We start from the raw sequence: 22,172 nt of genomic DNA, 5'->3' as shown, positions 1-22,172 counted from the left end.
ATTGTAAATAAATAGTTCAACTTTCTTTTGGCTTCACTAGAATTTATATATTGGCTTATGAGTCATCAAATGAAAATTTAGGAAGAATTATAGGTAGCATTATTTATACGTTTTCTCATCATATAAAACTTGCTGTAACTTTTGAATTACTTAAATCACTTTGAAATATTTTTTCCTTTTTGAAACAAAAAAGTGACTTTTCCAGGTATGTAAATTCTTAATTATTTAACCACTTATCCTTTTATGCTTTATTGTTTTTAGTCCTACCTCTTCTGGGAAGATACATTTTTCCTTAGCAGTGGCTTTATGTTTATAGAAAGCAATAATAACGGCCAGGCGCAGTGGCTCCTGCCTGTAATCCCAGCACTTTGGGAGGCTGAGGCAGGCGGATCACCTGAGGTCATGGGTTTGAGACCAGCCTGATCAACATGGAGAAACCCTGTCTCTACTAAAAATGCAAAATTAGTTGGGCACGGTGGCGCATGCCTGTAATCCCAGCTACTCGGGAGGCTGAGGCAGGAGAATCGCTTGAACCTGGGAGGTGGACGTTGCGGTGAGCTGAGATCACACCATTGCACTCCAGCCTGGGTGACAAGAGCAAAACTCCGTCTCAAAAAAAAAAAAAAAGCACTAATAGCTTTCTCTATATAAATAAATATTTATTAAGCATCCACTGCATACAAAGAACTAGCCTAGGCTCAGGGGGTGTACATATGAGCAAAAACTTTTTGGAGCTTAGAGTTGGCATTACATTCTAGATTAGTGGTATTTTTTTTTTCTGGGTTTGGTGACTCAAAGGAGAAAATACGTCTTACACTGAGCCATCTGAATATAAAAACCCATCACAGGTTATTCTTTTGATATGTTTGCTTTGGAATTTTTTCCCTATATTTCATGCATCTGAAAGCATGAGTGTTGCTCTTTTCTGGTTTCTCAGCAGTTTATAGCAAATGAAATGTCTGCCTGAAAAAAACTATGGCACAGCATCCTAATATTCCAACATAATACATCATTTAGTCTTCATTCCATATGCATATTTTTGTATATTGTTCAGCAAGTATTATGTAAGCCAATCATAGGTGAAATAGGCATTATTTTAAAAATATGTTTGATTTAAATATTAAGTAGATAAGGCTGGGCACAGTGGCTCACGCCAGTAATCCCAAAGCTTTGAGGCAGGTGGATTGCTTGAGCTCAGAAGTTCGAGACCATCCCGGACAACATGGTGAAACCCTGTGGCTACCAAAATTTACAAAAATTAGCCAGGCATGGTGTCACATGCCTGTAGTCCCAGCTACTTTGGAGGCTGAGGTAGGAGGATCACTTGATCCCAGGAGGCGGAGGTTGCAGTGAGCTGAGACCACACCACTGCACTCCAGCCTGGGCAACAGAGCAAGACCCTGTCTTAGCCACAAAAAAAAATTTTATCATAAGTGTGTCATTTACGGTATCTTAGTCTGCCGTACCCCTGGATTTTGAAGTCCTCACCATAATTTTTCCTTCTGTTATAATTGTCCATTTCATTTGAGAGGATATTTTTATAAAGTTTTCAAATTGTAAAAAAAAAACAAAATTTGCCCTCTTAATGATTTTTCCCTTTTATTTATTTTCAGATAGTCCCTGAAACAGAATAGGCTCAGAGAGGCTCGCTCCTTTTATTTTTAGTTGACATGTAATAGTTGTACATATTTATGGTGTACAAAATGATATTTTGGTACATGTATACAATTAGTAATGATCAAATGAGGGTAATTAGGATATACCTATCACCTCAAACATTCACCTTTCTTTGTGTTGAAAACATTCAAAATTCTTTCAGCCCTTTTTTTTTTTTTTTGACAGAATCTTATTCTGTCACCCTAGGCTAGAGTGCAGTGGTGCAGTCATAGGCTCAAGCAACTTTTGGGCTCAAGCAATTTTCCTGCTTTGGCCTCCCGTGTAGGTGGGACCACAGGTGCACACCACCTTGTCCAACTAATTTTTTCATTTGTTTATAGAGATGGAGTCTCACTTTGTTGCCCAGGCTGGCCTTGAACTCCTGGACTCCTCCTGCCTCACCCTCTCAAAGCACTGATATTACAGGGGGTGAGCCACTGTGCCAGGCTTCTTGTAGCTTTTTTAACATATACCATAAACTGTTGTTAACTATATACCTTGCGGTGCTATAGAACACTAGAAGTTGTTCCTTCTATCTATCTAGCTGTAATTTTGTATCTATTAATCAACCTCCTCCTATACTCCCCTCCTGTCACCCTGCCCATCTTCTAATAACCATAGCTCTTCTCTCTACTTGTATGATCTAAGTTTTTTTTTTTTAGCTCCCCCATATGAGTGAGGACATTTGGTATTTATCTTTCTGTCCTTGACTTACTTAGCATGATGTCCTCCAGGTTTATCATGTTGCTGCAAATGACAGGATTTCATTCTTTTTTATGGCTGAATAGTATTCCACTGTGCATATTTACCACATTTTTTCCATTCATCTGTTGATGAACATGTAGGTTGATTTCATTTCTTGGCTATTGTGAGTAGTGCTGCAGTAAACGTGGGGTGCAGGTATCTCTTTGATATAATTTCTTTTCTTTGGGTAGATACCCAGTAGTGGGATTGCTGGATCATATAGTAGTTATATTTTTAGTTTTTTGAGGCACTTCTATAGTGTTTTTCATCCTGGTGTACTAATTTACATTTCTACCAACAAATGGGAGGCAGAGGTTGCAGTGAGCCAAGATCACGCCATTGCACTCCAGCCTGGGCAACAAGAGCGAAACTCCGTCTCAAACAAACAAAAAAAAAGAATTAGCTTTCCTAGGAATGGCTGAATTCACCATAATGATAATGTTGGTGGGGAGTCCCCTCAGTTTTTTTCAGCCTGAGTCCTAACATCTCACAAGTTTAAGGCTTCTCTGTATGTTTGTTCATCCTTCGTGGGTTCTTTTGCATAAAATACCACACTTTACATACCTTGAGTCAGAACTGAAAATTACAGCAAATATGGCTCTCAATTGTATATTTAAAAATCTCTAAGATAAATTATTGTATTAGAAAAGCAAAGTGCAGAAAAGTATGTGTAATATGACACCTAGTGTGAGAAGGCGGAATTAGAATATTTGCCTCCGTCTAGGTGTAGTGGCTCACACCTGTAATCCAAGGACTTTGAGATGCCAAGGCAGGAGTATCCCTTCAGGCCAGGAGGTCAAGATCAGCTGAGACAACATGGGGAGACCTCCATCTCTTCAAAATATAAAAATAACCAGGTGCACGCCTGCCCTGCTACTTAGGTGGCTGAAGCAGAAGGACTGCTTGAGCCTGGGAGGTCAAGGTTACAGTGAGCTGTGGTCAATCCACTGCGCTTCAGCCTGGATGACAGAGCAAGGGCCTGTCTCAAAGTACCTAAATAAAAAAGAAAGCCGAGTGCGGTGGCTCACGCCTGTAATCCCAGCACTTTTGGGAGGCCGAGGCAGGCTTATCACAAGGTCAAGAGATAGAGACCATCCTGGCCAATATGGTGAAACCCCGTCTCTACTAAAAATACAAAAATTAGCTGGGCATGGTGGCGTGTGCCTGTAGTCGCACCTACTCCGGAGGCTGAGACAGGAGAATTGCTTGAACCTGGGAGTTGGGAGGTTGCAGTGAGCCAAGATTTCACCACTGCACTCTAGCCTGGCCACAGAGCAAGACTCCATCTCAAAAAATAAACAAAAATAAATAAATAAATAAAAATATTGGCTTGGCTGTATAATGAAATTCTGGAGAGCTATACAAATTCTTAATCATTCTGGTTATGGAATTATCACTGTGTAATCTTTTTTCTGATTTTTGATTCATGTGAATATTAAGAATTAACAATGGCTTTTGAAAGTGAATCACTGAGAATTTTAGAAAAGAAACTGACCTTGTTTTCCCGCAGAAGAATGTAATACCTCATGTGTATAGTAATTATTTCATTCCTTAGACCTGGTATAGGCAAACTACAGCCCAAGGACCACTCTTTCCCTCCTTCCGCTTTTGTAAAGAAGGTTGTATTGGAACACAGCTGCGTCCATTGGTGTATATCTGCTTTCCAGCTACAGTGGCAAAGCTGAGCAGTTTTAGCAGACATCTCATGGCCTGCAATGTTTATTATCTTACTCTTAACAGAAAAATGTTGCTAACCTCTCCCTTAGGTATTGTTTTTTTACTTTTAGTCATAGAATACTTTGTTCAATCACATTTTTATATGTACCACTATTACTTGGAAGTACAGCTATATTTACTGAAGTGAGATTAGGGGACAGGTTGGTTGAACCCTGCCACTCACCTGTCTTCCTCTTTTTTTTTAACCCTCCATCCTCCAGCAGCTGTTTCTTGAGGGGAATTTGAGGAATCCCCAGGGTTCTAAGGAGTACAGTTTGAAAATGACTGCCTTACAGCAACTCTTGAGGTAGTAAGTCTGATACTATTTTCTATATTAGGTACTGAGACTTAGCTCATACAAATGAGTTAGTCAAGGTTTAATAAGAAACCAGAACAAAATGCAAATCCAGGGATGATTAGTTGCAGAACAAATGGTCATATTTGCCTTTGAATTATATTTTATATTGTCATAATTCTGTATTGTTTCATTGATAATTGACTTTTTTGTCTTTACCTTCTTTGTATTCATACAGGTTTTTGTAAGGCCAGCTTCCTTCCTTTACTGGAATTTGCCTATACTTCTGTACTAAGTTTTGATTTCTGTAGCATGGCTGATGTAGCCATCTTAGCTCGTCATCTTTTCATGTCAGAAGTCTTAGAGATTTGTGAAAGTGTACATAAGCTAATGGAAGAGAAGCAGCTAACAGTATATAAGAAGGGCGAAGTACAAACAGTTGCATCCACCCAGGACTTACGAGTACAGAATGGAGGTACAGCACCTCCTGTTGCTAGCAGTGAGGGAACCACAACAAGTTTACCTACTGAACTTGGGGATTGTGAAATTGTACTACTGGTAAATGGAGAATTGCCAGAAGCTGAGCAGAATGGAGAGGTAGGACGACAGCCTGAGCCCCAGGTTTCTTCAGAGGCTGAATCTGCCCTGTCATCAGTAGGATGTATAGCTGATTCCCATCCTGAAATGGAGTCTGTTGATTTAATAACAAAAAACAACCAGACAGAACTAGAAACTTCAAACAACAGAGAAAATAACACAGTTTCTAATATACACCCTAAACTTTCAAAAGAGAATGTAATTAGTAGCTCGCCAGAGGATAGTGGTATGGGAAATGATATATCAGCTGAGGATATTTGTGCCGAAGACATTCCAAAACATAGGCAGAAAGTTGACCAACCTTTAAAAGATCAGGAAAATCTAGTTGCATCAACAGCAAAGACAGACTTTGGCCCTGATGATGATACTTATAGAAGCAGGCTTCGACAACGTTCTGTTAATGAAGGGGCATATATTCGACTACACAAGGGAATGGAGAAAAAGCTGCAGAAACGGAAAGCCGTTCCCAAGTCAGCAGTTCAACAGGTATGATGTAAGAAGGGTTGACCTTTGTAGTTTTAGCTTTAGGTTGAAAGCATTGTATTGATGAACTTATGGCTATAATGAAAATTATTTGGGAGGTGAGATGGGTACAAGGTAGCAACTTAATGTTTTAAATGCCAGTATTAATAAGATAATGTGAATTTGAAATCTTTTTGTTAGAAATTTACAACATGACTTTAAAAATTAAAATTGAGTAGATTTACTTAGATTGTGATTTCTATCCCTTACTAGGTGGCTCAGAAGTTAGTTCAAAGAGGAAAAAAGATGAAACAGCCAAAAAGAGATGCTAAAGAGAACACAGAAGAAGCATCTCATAAATGTGGGGAATGTGGAATGGTTTTTCAGAGACGATACGCCCTTATAATGCACAAACTGAAACATGAAAGAGCTAGAGATTACAAATGTCCAGTAAGTATTTGGAAAGCTAATTGAAGGTAACTCTAATTCATAATATATAGAATCCAACTTACTGCATGGTTATCTTTTCGCTTGTATTCTATGTCTTATATGGCTATAAGAGTCATCTTCTTATTTAAATGTGCATGTCATTTACTTGCCTCCCAAAAATATTCAGTGACTTAGCCTTATCTCTGCTTCCTCTTGATACCGTAGTAAGACAATAGTAAAAAGATCATTTTAAAAATGTAACTCATGAAAAGGCAGAACAGGAAATCTTGAAACAACTAAATTCTGGATACAAATAAATAGATGGAGTAACTTATTCAGCAGAGTTGAAAGGGTTCACTTCCAGGTTTTCAGTGGGGAAAGCTAAGAATCAACCCAAATTGAATTGTAGAACCACCAAAATGTCTCAGGAATTAGTAGTGCTAGCTACCTTGAAAGCAGAAGCAATTAAATCACTACCCCTGTCCCTTTAGCCAAAGATCCATCTTCTACTCTCTGGAAAGGATAAAACCATAACTCCACTGGGGAGTACTGTGTACAGTGAAGCTAAATGTACTGTACTCAAAACAGGGAAGAGTGTACTGTACTCAAAACAGGGAAGAGTAAAAGCTTACTGAATATTAAGTTTTTGTTTTGTTTTGTTTTGTTTTTGAGATGGAGTCTTGTTCTGTCACCCAGGCTAGAGTGCAGTGGCGCAATCTTGGCTCACTGCATCCTCCATCTCCCAGGTTCAGGTGATTCTCCTGCCTCAGCCTCCTGAGTAGCTGGGACTACAGGCACGAGCCACCATGCCTGGCTAATTTTTTTGTATTTTTATATGCAGGGTTTCACCATGTTGGCCAGGCTGGTCTCAAACTCCTGAGCTCAAATGATCCACCTGTCTCTGCCTCCCCAAGGTATGGGATACCAGGTGTGAGCTACCACACCCGGCCCAAGGTCTTTCTTTACTCAAGTCCCAGGATATAGCCATCTAGACCCCACCATCTCAGAGATGAAAAATCTGAAGCCCAGTAACAAAAGACAGCTACTGACAAAAGCTCATGGTTGACAACAATCCCCTCCCCATTTACATGGAAATTCCAGTGAATTTTTTAATATCTTATTCTGAAATATGAACAGATATTAGGGATTATTGACTCATGACAAAAGATTTCAAGAAAAACAACTTTGGCTGGGCGCAGTGGCTCACACCTATAATCGTAACATTTTGGGATGCCAAGGCAGGCAGATTGCTTGAGCTCAAGATTTCAAGACCAGCCTGGGCAACATGGTGAAACCCTGTCTCTACAAAAATACAAAAATTGGCTGGGTGCGGTGGCTCACACCTGTAATCCCAGCACTTTGGGAGGCTGAGGCGGGCAGATCACGAGGTCAGGAGATCAAGACTATCCTGACTAACATGGTGAAACCCGCCTGTACTAAAAGTACAAAAAATTAGCCAGGCATGGTGGCGAGCACCTGTAGTTCCAGCTACTCGGGAGACTGAGGCAGGACAATGGCTTGAACACGGGAGGCGGAGCTTGCAGTGAGCCGAGATTGTGCCACTGCACTCCAGCCTGGGCAACAGAGCGAGACTCCGTCTCAAAAAAAAAAAAAAAGAAATACAAAAATTATCTGGGCATGGTGGCACACACCTGTAGTCCCAGCTATTTGTTGGGGGCTAAGGCAGAAAGATGGCTTGAACCCAGGAGGTCAAGGCTACAGGGAGCCAAGATTGCCCTACTGCACCCCAGCCTGCATGACAAAGTGAGACCCTGTCTCCAAAAAAAAAAGACAATTTTGAGGAATCCAAGACTAGCGAGAAAATAAAACTACTAAAAAGAAAAAAACTTCAGAACATATGATTTATATAAGAGATAAATGAAAAAATTACGTTTACAAAACAACCATGTACTGTGGGGTTTTTTTGTTTGTTTGTTTGTTTTTGTTTTTCTGGAGACGGAGTTGTGTTCTTGTTGCGCAGGCTGGAGTGCAGTGGCATGATCTCTGCTTCCCGGGTTGAAGCAGTTCTGCCTCAGCCTCCCGAGTAGCTGGGATTACAGGCATGCGCCACCATACCCGGCTAATTTTGTATTTTTAGTAGAGATGGGGTTTCTCCATGTTGGTCAGGCTGGTCTCGAACTCCTGACCTCAGGTGATCTGCCTGCCTCAGCCTCCCAGAGAGCTGGGATTATAGGCATGAGCCACTGCTCCCAGCGGTACTATGTTTTTAAAAGGGCACACTGAGGCTGAGCGTGGTGGCCTATACCTGTAATCCCAACACTCCAACACTTCGAGAGGCAGAGATGGGAGGATCACTTGAGCCCAGGAGTTCAAGACCAGGCAATATAGCGAGACCCTGTCTCTACAAAAAAAAAAATTTTTAAATGTCATATTGGCTGGCCCGAAGTTAGTTATCTCAATTGACTGTTCACAGTTACAGATCGAACTCCTTGTTCTACTCTTTACCCCCTTCTCACTACTGCACTTGACTAGTGTAAAAAAAAAAAGTCTAAAAAAATTTTATTAATATAAAGGGCACATTAAAATAACTAGAGTATTTTAGGAATAAAATATATAATACCATATAAAAAATCTCAGAAAAGTTGGAAAATATAACTAATGAAATCTCCCAGAAAATAGAGCAAAAAGACAAGTTAGAAATGGGAGTGAAAGAAAATAATAGAATTGGTCTGAGATACTCAGTATACAAATATTATTTTCAAACAGAACATGGAAAACAATATAAAGAAAAATTTCAGAACTTAAGGATAGAAGTTTCTGTGTTAAAGGAGTACGCTGAATGCCCAGAACAGTGGATGAAAATAAAACTGTATTAAAGTACATTATAAAATTTCAGAATCAGTGGACAAAAATAAAATAAGTTGCCAGAGGACAAACAATAACATTGTCAGTCTCATAAAAAGGATAAGGATCAGAATGGCTTTAGGTTTTTCAACAACAGCAACAGAAACTAGAAGACAAAGCCACACCATGTGTTTAAAATCTAAAGAGAAATGATTTCTGGCTTGAATTCTTACAGCCAATCAGTCAAACTTTTAATTATTTATGATGGTAGAATAAGAATATTTTCAGACATGCTAGGTCTCAAAATTATTACTTCCCAAATTTTCTCAGGAAGCTGTTGACAGACATGTTTCACTAAAATGAGCAAGACGTGTTAAATACAAAACATGGCATCCAGTTCAACAGAGTCCAAGGGATTCATCAAGACAATAGTGAAGGGGATCCCAGGATGAAGCCATGTATCAGGCAGTTAGGGAACAGTTAGCCCAGGACATAATGATTTTTTTTTTTTTTTTTTTTTGAGACAGGGTCTTGCTCTGTATCCCAGGCTGGAGTGCAGTGGCACTATCACAGCTCACTGCAACCTCCACGTCCCAGGCTCAAACGATCCTCCTGTCTTAGCCTCCCAAATAGCTGGGACCACAGGCATGCACCATAATGCTCGGCTAATTTTTCTATTTTTTTTGTAGAGACAGGGTTTTACCATGTTGCCCAGGCTGGTCTCAAACTCCTGGACTCAAGTGATCCACCCTCTTCGGGCTCCCAAATGCTGGGGTTCCAGACGTAAGCCACCACACCCAGCCCAGGACATAATGATTTGACAGAGATTTCCAAAAAGGGGATGGGTTTTAAATCTCCTCCCAGTACAGCTGGGGGCAGGGTATTGCAAATTAGTAAGTGCAAAGAGAAATAAAACAAAAAGCAAGAAAGGAAAAAGAATTACAGTGTACTGTATGTGGCCCAGTGGTAATAATATTTACATCCTAAAAATGTAAGCCTTGAAATTGGTCTACTCAAGAATATGATATAACTATATTGATAAAGAGGGGTAATGGAAATCATTTACATATCTAAGTAGGGAGTAGAGGAGTAAAAATGCAAATCAACTTCCATTATGTGTGTTACATAGAGTTACAAAGGGAAGCATCAAGAGAGAGTCATCCAAGCACAGCTGCACTTAAAAACAAAGTCAGAGATAACTCTAGAAGCAAAATATGGTGGAGATGGTTGGCCAGGAGACCAGTTGTACTTATTGTTTTAAAAAATAGGTTTTGCAGAGGGTAAGCATATATAACTTTGATTTTAAAAATCAAAGATTTTTTAAAAATTGAAGATTTCTTGAATCTTCAACTATGAGATAAAATCCAAGGACCATCAATCACAGCCTTACCTTTCTATTTCCAGCCCCTACTCCTGTTCCACCTGATAACTGTTAGTACTCATACTAATGATAGAATTCTATCTTTGTTTTACCATTCCTGAAAGACCCATTTCAAGCCCAACCTTGTTGATATAAATATTGTGCTGTTGTTAGACTTTAGCCTCTGCAGAATAGGGATTGAGTCTTATCCCTTTTATCTTTACAATCTAGTACCTATTGTTTTTTACATAGTGTGTTTATTGATTTATATAATTGTAACAAAAACAAAGTCCAAATATGAGTTGAGTTTCAGTTAACATTTTGTAATGGAAATACATTTAGAGAGAATTTTATTTTTCTTTTAGTTGTGTAAAAAACAGTTTCAGTACAGTGCCTCTTTGCGAGCACATCTTATTCGTCATACCAGAAAAGATGCACCCTCTTCATCCTCGTCCAATTCCACGTCTAATGAAGCATCGGGAACATCATCTGAGAAGGGCAGAACCAAGCGGGAATTTATATGTTCCATATGTGGAAGAACATTACCTAAATTATATTCTCTCCGAATACATATGTTAAAGCACACAGGTGTAAAGCCACATGCATGCCAGGTAAAGCTATAACGTTTATTTTGCTATTTAAAGAACATTAGAACTTAACTATGTGTGCCAAAGAGACTGGTGGGATATGTATTCTCAAGTCACTCTCATTTGTAAAATGTCAGGTAAATTTATGACTTCTTTATTGCCTAGATCAAAGGTGATTCCCTATGGTGTTTTTTAATTTGCTCTCTGAAGTTGTAATTTGAATCTATTTAAGATGTTTGTGAAAACTTACTAGGGTCCAGAGGATGTATAGGGTGAAAAATAACCAGTTTATCATCCCAGTCATTCCTTAACCTTCAACTGGACCAACCAGGACTAGAAAGGAACCCATGGCTTAAACAAATCTCTGTGGTCCGTAAAAGTCCTGCCTAAGCTGTGTTCTTCTCTAGAGCTAAGGATTGAGAGTACCTAAATGCCAAAATAAGACTCAAGGGTAGTGAATCCTGTGATTAGCCAGCTTTGGGCTATTTGAAACAGTGAAAAATTTCTAGTAGCACCTGTAGCCTTATATATGAGTATGACTCAGTTTGGGTTTTTTTGTCTGTTTTGAGACAAGGTCTTGTTCTATCTCTCAGGCTGGAATGTAGTAGCATGATCACAGCTCACTGCAGCCTCCATCTCCCAGAGGATTAAACCATCCTCCCACCTTAGCCTCCCAAGTAGCTGGGACTACAGATGTGCACCACCACGCCTGGCTAATTTTTTTAAATTTTGTGGAGATGGGGCCTAACTATGTTGCCCAGGCTGGCCTCAAACTCCTGGGCTCAAGTAGTCTTCCTACGTCAGGCTCCCAAAGTACTGGAATTATAGGCGTGAGCCACTATGCCAGGCCTGACTTAGTATTTTTATTAAAAAACAGTTTTGGAACCAATGAGATTTTTTTTCTTTCTGTATTTTAATAGTTTTTGGGGAACAGGTGGTGTTTGTTTACATGGGTAAGTTTTTTAGTAGTGTTTTCCAAATTTTGGTGTACCCATTACTTAAGCAGTATACACTATACCCAGGGTGTAGTCTTTTATGCCTCACCCCCAACTCACCCTTTCCCACAAGTCCCCAAAGTCCGTTGTATCATTCATAGCTCAGCTCCCAATTATGAGTGAGAACATACGATGTTTGGTTTTCCATTCCTAAGTTACTTCATTTAGAGTAGTGGTCTCCGGTCATTTGAACCTGGGAGGTGGTGGTTGCCGTGAGCCGAGGTGGCACCACTGCATTCCAGCCTGGACAACAAGAGCAAAATTCCATCTCAAAAAAATTAATTAATTGGCCGGGTACAGTGTGGCTCACACCTGTAATCCCAGCACTTTGGGAGGCCGAGGCAGGCGGATCACAAGGTCAGGAGATCGAGACCATCCTGGCTAACAATCCTGGCCATCTCTACTAAAAATACAAAAAATTAGCCAGGCATGGTGGCACACACCTGTAATCCCAGCTACTTGGGAGGCTGAGGCAGGAGAATTGCTTGAACCCGGGAGGCAGAGGTTGCAGTGAGCCGAGACCGCACCACTGCACTCTAGCCTGGGCGACAGAGTGAGACTCCGTCTCAAAAAAAAAAAAAAAATTAATTTTTAAAAGAGGTAGTGGTCTCCGGTTCCATCCAGGTTGCTGCAAATGCCATTATTTTGTTCATTTTTATGACTGAGTGGTATTCCATGGTATATTTATACCACATTTTCTTTATCTGCTCATTGATTTATGGGCATTTGGGCTGGTTTCATATTTTTGCAACTGAATTGTGCTGTTGTAAACATGCATGTGCAAGTATCTTTTTCATATATCAGATTTTTTAAAGACAGGGTCTTTCTTATTACCCAGGCCGGAATACAGTGGCATTATCTTAACTCAGTAAACTCGAACTCCTGGTTTCAAGCAATCCTCCTGCATCAGCTACCCGAGTAGCTAGGACTTCAGGTGTATGCCACCACACCCACCTAATTTTTTTTTTTTAAGTTTTTATAGAGACCCTGCCTTTTTATAGATCTTGCTATATTGCCCAGACTGGTCTTGAACTCCTGGTCTCAAGCTGTTCTCCCACCTGGGCCTCCCAAAGTGCTGGGATTATAGGCATAAGCCACTGTGCCTGGCCTCCAGTGAGGTTTTTTATATTTCTCTTTTTTGTTCCTTTTTATTATTTTAGAAGAGAATGGGTTGAACTCTCATGTACCCTTCACTCAACTTCAGTAGTTACCAGCTCGTGGTACATGTGTTTTATGTATACTGTTATTTACTACCCTACTCCCACCTCCACCCCCACCCTGCCAGGTTTTTGTTTTTTTTTTTTGGAGGCAGGGTCTCACTCTGTTTCCGCAGGCTGGAGTGCAGTGGCGCCATCTCAGTTCACTGCAACCTCCACCTCCCAGGTTCAAGCAATTCTCCTGCCTCAGCCTCCCGAGTAGCTGGAACTACAGGCACACGCCACCACGCCTGGCTAATTTTTTGTATTTTAGTAGAGACAGGGTTTCACCATGTTGCCCAGGCCAGTCTCGAACTCCTGAGCTCAGACAATCCAACCACCTCAGCCTCCCAAAGTGTTGGGGTTACAGGCATGAGTCACTTTGCCCAGCTCCGCCAGTTATTTTGAAGCCAAGTCCTTCCTAAGGATCACTTTATTTGTAAATTTATGGGTTTTTTGTTTTTTTTTTTTTTTTGAGACTGATTCTTGCTCTGTCACTGAGGCTGGAGTGCAGTAGCACGATCTTGGCTCACTGCAACCTCTGCCTCCTGGGTTCAAGTGATTCTCCTACCTCAGCCTCCCGAGTAGTTGGGATTACAGATGCCTGTCACCACACCTGGCTAATTTTTGTATTTTTTTTTTTAAGTAGAAACAGGGTTTCACCATGTTGACCAGGCTGGTCACGAACTCCTGACCTCAAATGATCCGCCCGTCTCAGCCTCCCAAAGTGCTGGGATTACCAGCATGAACCACCACACCCGGCCATAAATTTAAATACCAAGTATTAGTTGGGCCTCTGGTCTTCCCATGTGGCACTACTCAATATGTGTGGTCTGTGGACAATAAGTACAGAAATAGAGAGTAAGCATGTAGAAACTGTCATAGCAATTTGGCATTGTCACGTCATTTTTAACAAAAATTTTTGTGTTTAACAAAAATTTCTCCCAGTGGATTGTGGAAAAGGAAAAAAAAATAATTAGTTCTTCATCACAGTTTGAAAAGCACTGTTCTAGTTGGTGTAGCAGGAAATGGTATATTGTTCTTGATTAAACTTCCATGTCTCTTAATATAAGGTATACTGTTTACCAGTCTCAAAGATAGCATGAGGTTTGTCTGATTTTTACTATTTTGAGAATCTCTGGTGATCACATGGATTTAAGAAAGATAACAATATTTGTTGAATACTGAATCAGAAGAGGGGTCAACTTTCAAGTTGGTTTCAACTTTCACTTTGTCATTATGTTTTATTGTAAATTAAATAATTTAAATATTTATTTAAAATAATATATTCATTTTCTCTGTCTTCATTGTTCAGAAACAATCTCCCTTTTTGTTTTATTGACTTAATCACCCCTGTTCTATCTTAGGTCTGTGGAAAGACTTTTATCTATAAGCATGGTCTAAAATTACATCAGAGTCTTCATCAATCACAGAAGCAGTTCCAGTGTGAACTGTGTGTTAAGTCATTTGTTACCAAACGGAGTCTTCAAGAACATATGAGTATTCACACAGGTAATGAGAAATTTATATTGACATAGTTACATTTCATAAACTATTAATGATTATGCTTTAATTATACCAGAAATTATATTGATAAACTGATAGTCGTGTGTGCTCAATTTTGTATTGAGACAGTATTTTAAATTAAAAGTGCAGGCTGGGCGCGGTGGCTCACGCCTGTAATCCCCAGCACTTTGGGAGGCCGAGGCAGGCAGATCATGAGGTCAGGAGATTGAGACCATCCTGGCTAACACGGTGAAACCGTTTCTCTACTAAAAAGACAAAACATTAGCCGGGCATGGTGGCAGGCGCCTGTAGTCCTAGCTGCTCGGGAGGCTGAGGCAGGAGAATGGCGTGAACCCGGGAGGCGGAGGTTGCTGTGAGCCAAGATCGCGCCACTGCACTCCAGCCTGGGCGACAGAGCAAGAATCCGTCTCAAAAAAAAAAAAAAGCGTTTTCTCAGATCTGGTTTTACAGCTATGTTTGTGTATGGAATATTCATTGTTTCCCTCAGTGTAGAAAAATGTGTACTAAGTGTTAAAATCATGCATAATTTAAATCCAGTCATAAAGAAATGATCATGCTTTTAAAAAGTTAAATGGTAGGGAGACATAATGTCAACATAGTAGTTGGCTTATATTTTTTTGTCCATACATACTTATTTTTAGATGTTTTAAAGCAAAAATGTGGGAATAGCCAATGAAGGGTAGATACCTGCTGCAACTTGTATTCAACTCTAGTACTATTACAATCCATAGATCATACAACCGTATCACATGACTAGGGTCATACCCTCTGATAGTACTATGGTTGTTGACAGGAAATGGGGATTTTGACATGGGTTATTGTTAATCTTAGATGTCTGCCAAATGTTATAGCTTCCATGTCCCCTTGGTAAAGTAACTTCTGAAATATGACATGAAGAATTCTGTTTATTAAAGGCCAGGCGTGGTGGCTCATGCCTGTAATCCCAGCACTTTGAGAGGCCAAGGCGGGTAGATCACAAGGTCATGACATCGAGACGCTCCTGGCTAACATGGTGAAACCCGTCTCTACTAAAAATACAAAAAATTAGCTGGGTGTGGTGGCACGTGCCTATAGTCCCAGCTACTCGGGAAGCTGAGGCAGGAGAATCACTTGAACCTGGGAGGTGGAGTTTGCGATGAGCCGAGATCACGCCACTGCACTCCATCCAACCTGGGCAACAGAGTGAGATGCCACTCAAAAAAAAAAAATTCTGTTAAAAGAGGACTGATTGCTGGATATGTGACAGGGTTTTAATTTTTTCTAATAGGAGAGTCCAAGTACCTTTGCTCAGTTTGTGGAAAGTCTTTTCATAGGGGCTCTGGACTCAGCAAGCACTTCAAGAAACACCAACCAAAGCCTGAGGTTCGAGGCTATCATTGTACTCAGTAAGTATTCAATATGTGAGGCATTCAGTTAATTTAATTATGTTTTTACTCAGTTTTCAAAAAAATATTTGAAGATAATATTAAACTGTAACTTCAGTTTACTCTTGATTTTAATGTCCTTTTTTTCTTGCTTAAGGGTTACTATTTTTAACATCTTCGAGATGTAAATCATTTACCATACAAATCACTCATTTAAAGTGATTTCAGATTTTCAAATGTACTACCTGGAAGTGGGGACTGTGGGAAAGAAGAGTCTCACTGCCAGCCAGTTTCTTTCCCCCCCTCTTCTTCATTTTCCAGATCCTCCTAAAATAAAATCTCTGTTACAATCGAGGTAAAATTCATATAACGTAAAATTAATCGGGACAGGCACAACAGCTCAAGCCTGTAATCCCAGCAGTTTGGGAGGCCAAGGCGGGCAGATCATCTGAAGTCAGAAGTTCGAGACCAGCCTGGCCAACGTGGCAAAACCCCATCTCTACTAAGAATACCAAAATCAGCCGGTTGTGGTGGTTCACACCTGTAGTCCCAGCTACTTGGGAGGCTGAGGCAGGAGAATCACTTGAACCCTGGAGGTGGGAGGTTGCAGTGAGCCAAGATCACACCACTGCACTCCATCCTGGGTGACAGAGTGAGTCTCCGCCTCAAAAAAAAAAAAAAGTCATTTTAGGGTGGTAGTGTGGGCGCAGTGGCTCATGCCTGTAATTCCAGCACTTTTGGAGACAGGTGGGAGGATCGCTTAAGGCCAGGAGTTCAAAACTAGTCTGGGCAGGCAGCATAGCAAGACCCTGTCTCTTAGGAAACAAAAGCCAGGAAGCTCTCTCTTTTGCTTTTCTTTTAACTTTTAGGTTCAGGGGTACATCAGAAAGCTCTCTTACAGGGATTCGACAATTTTTTTTCTTTGTTAAACATTTGCCTAGTCACTATAAGCTTTTCATTAGTTTTTAGAGTTCCTGGTAAGGTTGATTCTAACAGTTTGCCAGTTTGTCCTCTACTTTCGTGGAGAGATGGGCTTTTGGAGCTTCCTACTTGATGTATTTGTTGATGTTACTCTAATTAGTCTTATTTTGAAACAAAGATAGTTTGTTATCAATACATTTTTAGTTATTAATGAAAGTACACCCAACCCAAACAGGCTTGAATTAAATATAAAGTCTAGGAGTCTGGGTGGTTTAATGTAAACTGGATTCAAATTCATTAGCACTTGTTTTCTCTGAGGCACCATATGGACAAGACAATGGCAGTGGTTTCAGTCTCATATCCTCTCAAATTCCAAATTGTCAAACTTCTTTTCTGGTAGTTCCATCAAAGCCCTGAGAGTTACTCCATTTACATCAAGTTAAGTCAGTCATCCCTGAGTCAATCACTATGGCCAAGGGAATGCTTTGTTGTGATTAATTTAGGCCCAAGTCATTTGCTCTATCCCTAGGGTCAAAGGTAAAGTCTACCCTCAACACATGGACTAAGAATGAGAGGGTTGAAATAGGGATCTCAAAGTGGGGTAATTTAGGAGAGAGAATAGTAAATTTCCTCTGTAATAACCTTTGGGAACTATGCACGATTCTTTCTAAAACATTTCTAGTAGTCTTAAGATGAAAAGAACCTAAAACCCTGTAGCCTTTATGTAAGATTAGAAAATTAGGGAATTCTTTTAAGTTGAGATCATCTTTTGGAGTTCTAAAAAACTAAAAATAGTTACTGAGTTCTTGGAAACTTGTTTTAAAGGAATAAGATTATCCAATTGGGTAACTGAACTTTATTGCAGATGTGAAAAAAGTTTCTTTGAAGCTAGAGATCTTCGCCAGCACATGAACAAACATCTTGGTGTGAAGCCATTCCAGTGCCAATTTTGTGATAAGTGCTATAGTTGGAAGAAAGATTGGTATTCCCATGTGAAGTCTCATTCTGTCACTGAGCCTTATAGGTGAGTAAATTTGAGAAGGAGCTGAACTTAATTGATAACGTGTGTACTCTGATTGTTATGGCTGCTACTTCTTTGGACAAAATAATTGGGTCTTTTCCCCTATTTTAGGTGTAATATATGTGGCAAAGAATTTTATGAAAAAGCTTTGTTCAGAAGGCATGTAAAGAAAGCTACCCATGGGAAGAAAGGAAGAGCAAAGCAAAACCTGGAACGGGTGTGTGAAAAATGTGGAAGAAAATTCACTCAGCTAAGAGAGTATAGGAGACACATGAACAACCATGAAGGTAACTATACTTTATATTATATGTATCCTTATAGAATAAAAGCCAGTCCAGTAGTGATTCTCCCTTTACCAGCTCTTTCACCTTCCTTGGTAAAAGGTTAATTTCATATCTTTATTCAAATGACAGAGGTGATCCTGAACCTGAGTACCTAATTATTGTGTATATAAATAGATTCCTTTTTTAGTGAACTTAATTCTGTATCCACATTGTTATGCTGAACTAAACTATTTGAAGCCTCTGCTTTGAAGGAATGAAGGAATAAATGAGTTTATGCACAGAAACTAAAATTTGTCTCAATCACATCTGTCCGCAGGAAGATCTTTAGAGAGATTTATAGTTCAGAATCTTGTTTATTCTTTTTTTTTTTGAGACAAAGTCTTGCTCTGTCACCCAGGCTGGAGTGCAGTGACGCGATCCTGGCTCACTGCAACCTCTGCCTCCCAGGTTCAAGTGATTGTCATGCCTCAGCCTCCTAAGTAGCTGGGACTACAGGCACCCGCCACCACGCTGGGCTAATTTTTGTATTTTTAGTAGAGATGGGGTTTCACCATGTTGGTCAGGCTGGTCTCAAACTGCTCAGGTGATCCACCTGCCTTGGCCTCCCAAAGTGCTGGGATTACAGGTGTGAGCCACCGTGCCCGGCAAAGAATCTTCTTTATTCTAAGGAAAGTCCTAAATAAAAGATTGCCACAGTCCAGATAGAAAGGCTTATGAGCTACTGTACTTTTTAATAAAAGGAAGTTTGGTAGGCAGTTTAAGTATATTTTGGTGCTTGCACCTCACTACACATGCTTTTTTTTTTTTTTTTTTAGGAGTTAAGCCATTTGAGTGCTTAACATGTGGAGTAGCTTGGGCTGATGCCCGATCTCTAAAACGCCATGTCAGAACACATACTGGTGAACGGCCCTATGTCTGTCCTGTATGTAGCGAAGCCTACATAGATGCTCGAACACTCCGTAAACATATGACTAAATTCCACAGAGACTATGTGCCTTGCAAAATTATGCTGGAAAAAGACACCCTTCAGTTTCATAACCAAGGAACTCAAGTGGCACATGCTGTTAGCATCTTAACAGCAGGCATGCAGGAACAAGAAAGCAGTGGTCCTCAAGAACTTGAGACTGTGGTAGTGACAGGAGAAACTATGGAAGCTCTGGAAGCTGTTGCAGCTACTGAAGAGTATCCATCGGTATCTACACTTTCTGACCAAAGTATTATGCAAGTGGTTAATTATGTATTAGCACAACAGCAAGGACAGAAGCTATCTGAAGTTGCAGAAGCTATTCAAACTGTTAAAGTAGAGGTAGCACATATTTCAGGAGGAGAATGAGTATGTTAATGAAGATAAAAAGAAGTGACATCTCTTGTACACTGAACTCACAGAACATTTGTTTACAATTCTGTGTGACTGTCTGCTTGGAGTTTACATATCAAAGTTCTGGGCTGTTTGGTAACGTAACGTTTCCAAACATTTTGTCTGGCCAATGGGTTCTATAGAAAAGTCCGTTTAGTGTAGAGAAATTGAAAACAGATCTATTAGGTTGGTGCAATTGCTTTTGCACCAACCTAATATTTGATGGCAGTGGTTTATCATGATATACCTTTTATGAATTAATGTTTATAAATGACTGTACTGAATTTAAAACCGTACAGTTTCATTTGCATTTTGACATTACTTTATTATACATTTTGCATTTAAAAGGCTGCACCAGTTGGCTTTTCTTCTGTTTTATTCTCAAAATATAGAGATTCTGTGATTTATTTGCCCTGTTTATGGATTAAAAAGAAAATTCTAATATAAAGCATTTCAATAGGATGCATAGGTATATTACGTTTTTTAAATGCTTTAGATCTGTGATTCTTGACTTACTATTTATTTTATCCCCTTTTAAGTCAGGGATGCTTTATTCTATTTTAAAGCACTTATGAGTTACATGTTGTAATCAAGTTTGCACAATATATTTATCTATATGAGGAACCCATAAATGAATAGCTAATTTTTAAAATGCCATTAAAATGCATGAAATGCTTATTAAAACCTTACTATACTATTTCTTCAAGGCAAGTAAATTGACCATGAGAAAAGAACACAGTTATTAAACACTGTTGACAGGAAAATTCTCCTTGATAACATAGGACAATTAATGGAAAAAAAAATTCTCATTATTTGCAAAGAATGAACAAGTTAATGAACAAACAAACTAGATTTGGTATGTTTTCAGCTTTTGTATCATGTTTAATTGTTTAATTTGGTTGAAAAACTGCAGTTGAGAAATCAGATAGCAATATAGACATTCACAGCAGCTCTGTGGATACCATGTAATTGTCAGGTAATTTCAGAATGTTGAAAATTATTCAGTGCAGCCCTCATAGTATCATACTTGAAGAAATTGATTACAGTTCCACTAAATTGTTGAAGATAAATTATTTTTAAAGGTTATGAAAACTAAGTTATATTAATTCATATGTTTGATTTTTAAATCCCACCTCCTCAAGCTATCCAATTTTCTGACTTTGAAAATAACCATGAGAGATGCCACATTTCTCTCTGGGAAACTACCACTCAAAGAATAATTGTTAAAAATTAAGCTTTTAGGTATTAGAAGCTGTTATAAAGTATAAAATTAAGATATAAGCAGATCACATGTAAATCATTCCTAAAGCACAAGAAAAGAATGTGCCTTGATGTACATATATTACTAAGTTGCCTCTCCCAGTTTACTTTAAAAATGGCTTTAAGGATAAAGAATAAATGTGATAGCTGTGCATGCATTATATATTTGCATTTGCAAATTTCCCATTGTTTTAACAGCTGTGTGGCTGACTTTCAATTTTAAGACGTGAATTGACATACAGCCCATAACTTTATAATGGCTGCTCATTTATCTTATCTTTCAGTTAGTGGAAAAACATTTCAACCTGACTAAAATTTGGAATTGTGTCTTTTATGTTCCATCCTCTGTTGTTACTAGATTTAGTTTAAAAATTGTGTATGACCATTAATGTATGTCATAAACATGTAAATAAAAGATGTTGAATCTTGTTGAAAAGCATGAACTTTGGAGTTGAGCTTGTTACTATTTTCAGTTCATAAATCAGTTGTTACTTGATGTGTTATTAAGTTAATTTATTTTTAAAGGGAAAGGAAATAAAACACTAAAAAATAACGATTGGAGGAACACAATATTAAAACTTCTTACTCTTACATATAATTGATATGGACAAGAGGCAAGGAAATAATGGGTAGAAGAGGGCAGTTCCCCAGCAAAAGCCTGGAAACCCATGGCCCTAAATGGGAACAGGCATTCCTGTTTTCATGCCCAAATGTTGCCTTTTGGCCCACCACGCCCTCCTATCCTGTATCCATATAAACCCTAAACCCCAGGCTCCATGAGCAGAAGAGTGTTGCGGCAGAGGAGAGAAGAGAGGAGCATCTAAACGTCCAGAGGAGTTCAGCTGGGGACGGTTGGAGAGGAGATCATCTTCCCACTCCATCCCCTTTCCAGCTCCCCATCCATCCTGCTGAGAGCCACCTTTATCCAGCAATAAAATCCCCTGCATTTACCATCCTTCAATTTGTCCATGTGACCTGATTCTTCCTGGACGCTGGACAAGAACGCAGGTACCAAGAGGGCACTGAGCTAGTTAACACTTAAGCTATCTGTAGACAGCAGAGCTAAAGGAGCCCTGTAACATTCCCACTGGGGCTTTGGGAGTTGCAGACACCCCCCACCAGATGCTACTGTGGGGCCAGAGCCCAAAAGCACTCAATCCAGCTCCTGCACTTGCCCATCTGCATGCTTCCCCTCCTGTAAGGGGTTTGGGTGAACAAATGAGCCACACCCCTGTCTCATGTCCTGTGAGGATATCTGGGAACTTCCTTTTCATAATCTTGTCACAGGATTATATATTGTGCCATCAACCATCAGCTTTGAATAATGTAAATTTGTAAATTATATAAATTCCATGTAGAAACAAATGTTAAGAAGGTTCCAAAAATTCAGTGCAGTTTTAATGTTACCAAGAGGGCATTGTTAATTTATAACAATTCCTTTTTAGAAACATAAAGCATATTGCTGTCATGAGATGACTTCCAAAAACTATGGGTGTCTCCTGATCAAATATGGACGCCTTAAGCACTTTTGGCTACTTGTTACTGCTACTGCTACTAAGCAATTTGAATCACTGTTGTTATTCCCTGAAATGCATG

The 22,172-nt window shown here is 39.5% G+C and overlaps 1 protein-coding gene and 1 pseudogene across 3 annotated transcripts in view; both read left to right on the top strand.

Moving 5' to 3' along the window:
* Nucleotides 1–21,569, top strand: part of ZBTB11 (zinc finger and BTB domain containing 11) — a 28,244-nt gene extending 6,675 nt beyond the window's left edge. For 2 of the 3 annotated variants that reach the window (NM_014415.4, XM_011512689.3), the window contains exons 4-11: nucleotides 4,650–5,494; nucleotides 5,744–5,920; nucleotides 10,430–10,675; nucleotides 14,210–14,354; nucleotides 15,637–15,754; nucleotides 17,520–17,678; nucleotides 17,787–17,962; nucleotides 18,775–21,569. In NM_014415.4, coding sequence (NP_055230.2) covers nucleotides 4,650–5,494; nucleotides 5,744–5,920; nucleotides 10,430–10,675; nucleotides 14,210–14,354; nucleotides 15,637–15,754; nucleotides 17,520–17,678; nucleotides 17,787–17,962; nucleotides 18,775–19,292 — 2,384 coding nt within the window. In that variant the 3' untranslated portion in view covers nucleotides 19,293–21,569. Of the gene's footprint in view, nucleotides 1–3,653; nucleotides 4,424–4,649; nucleotides 5,495–5,743; nucleotides 5,921–10,429; nucleotides 10,676–14,209; nucleotides 14,355–15,636; nucleotides 15,755–17,519; nucleotides 17,679–17,786; nucleotides 17,963–18,774 lie in introns of those variants that run through there. The other variant, XM_011512690.3, reaches the window with a different exon arrangement.
* Nucleotides 8,294–8,393, top strand: RNY1P12 (RNY1 pseudogene 12; annotated as a pseudogene).
* Nucleotides 21,570–22,172: the final 603 nt, after the last annotated feature.

This window comes from Homo sapiens, chromosome 3, assembly GCF_000001405.40.
Source record: "Homo sapiens chromosome 3, GRCh38.p14 Primary Assembly".
NCBI lineage: Eukaryota > Metazoa > Chordata > Mammalia > Primates > Hominidae > Homo > Homo sapiens.
This window is presented reverse-complemented; position numbering and strand designations above follow the sequence as displayed.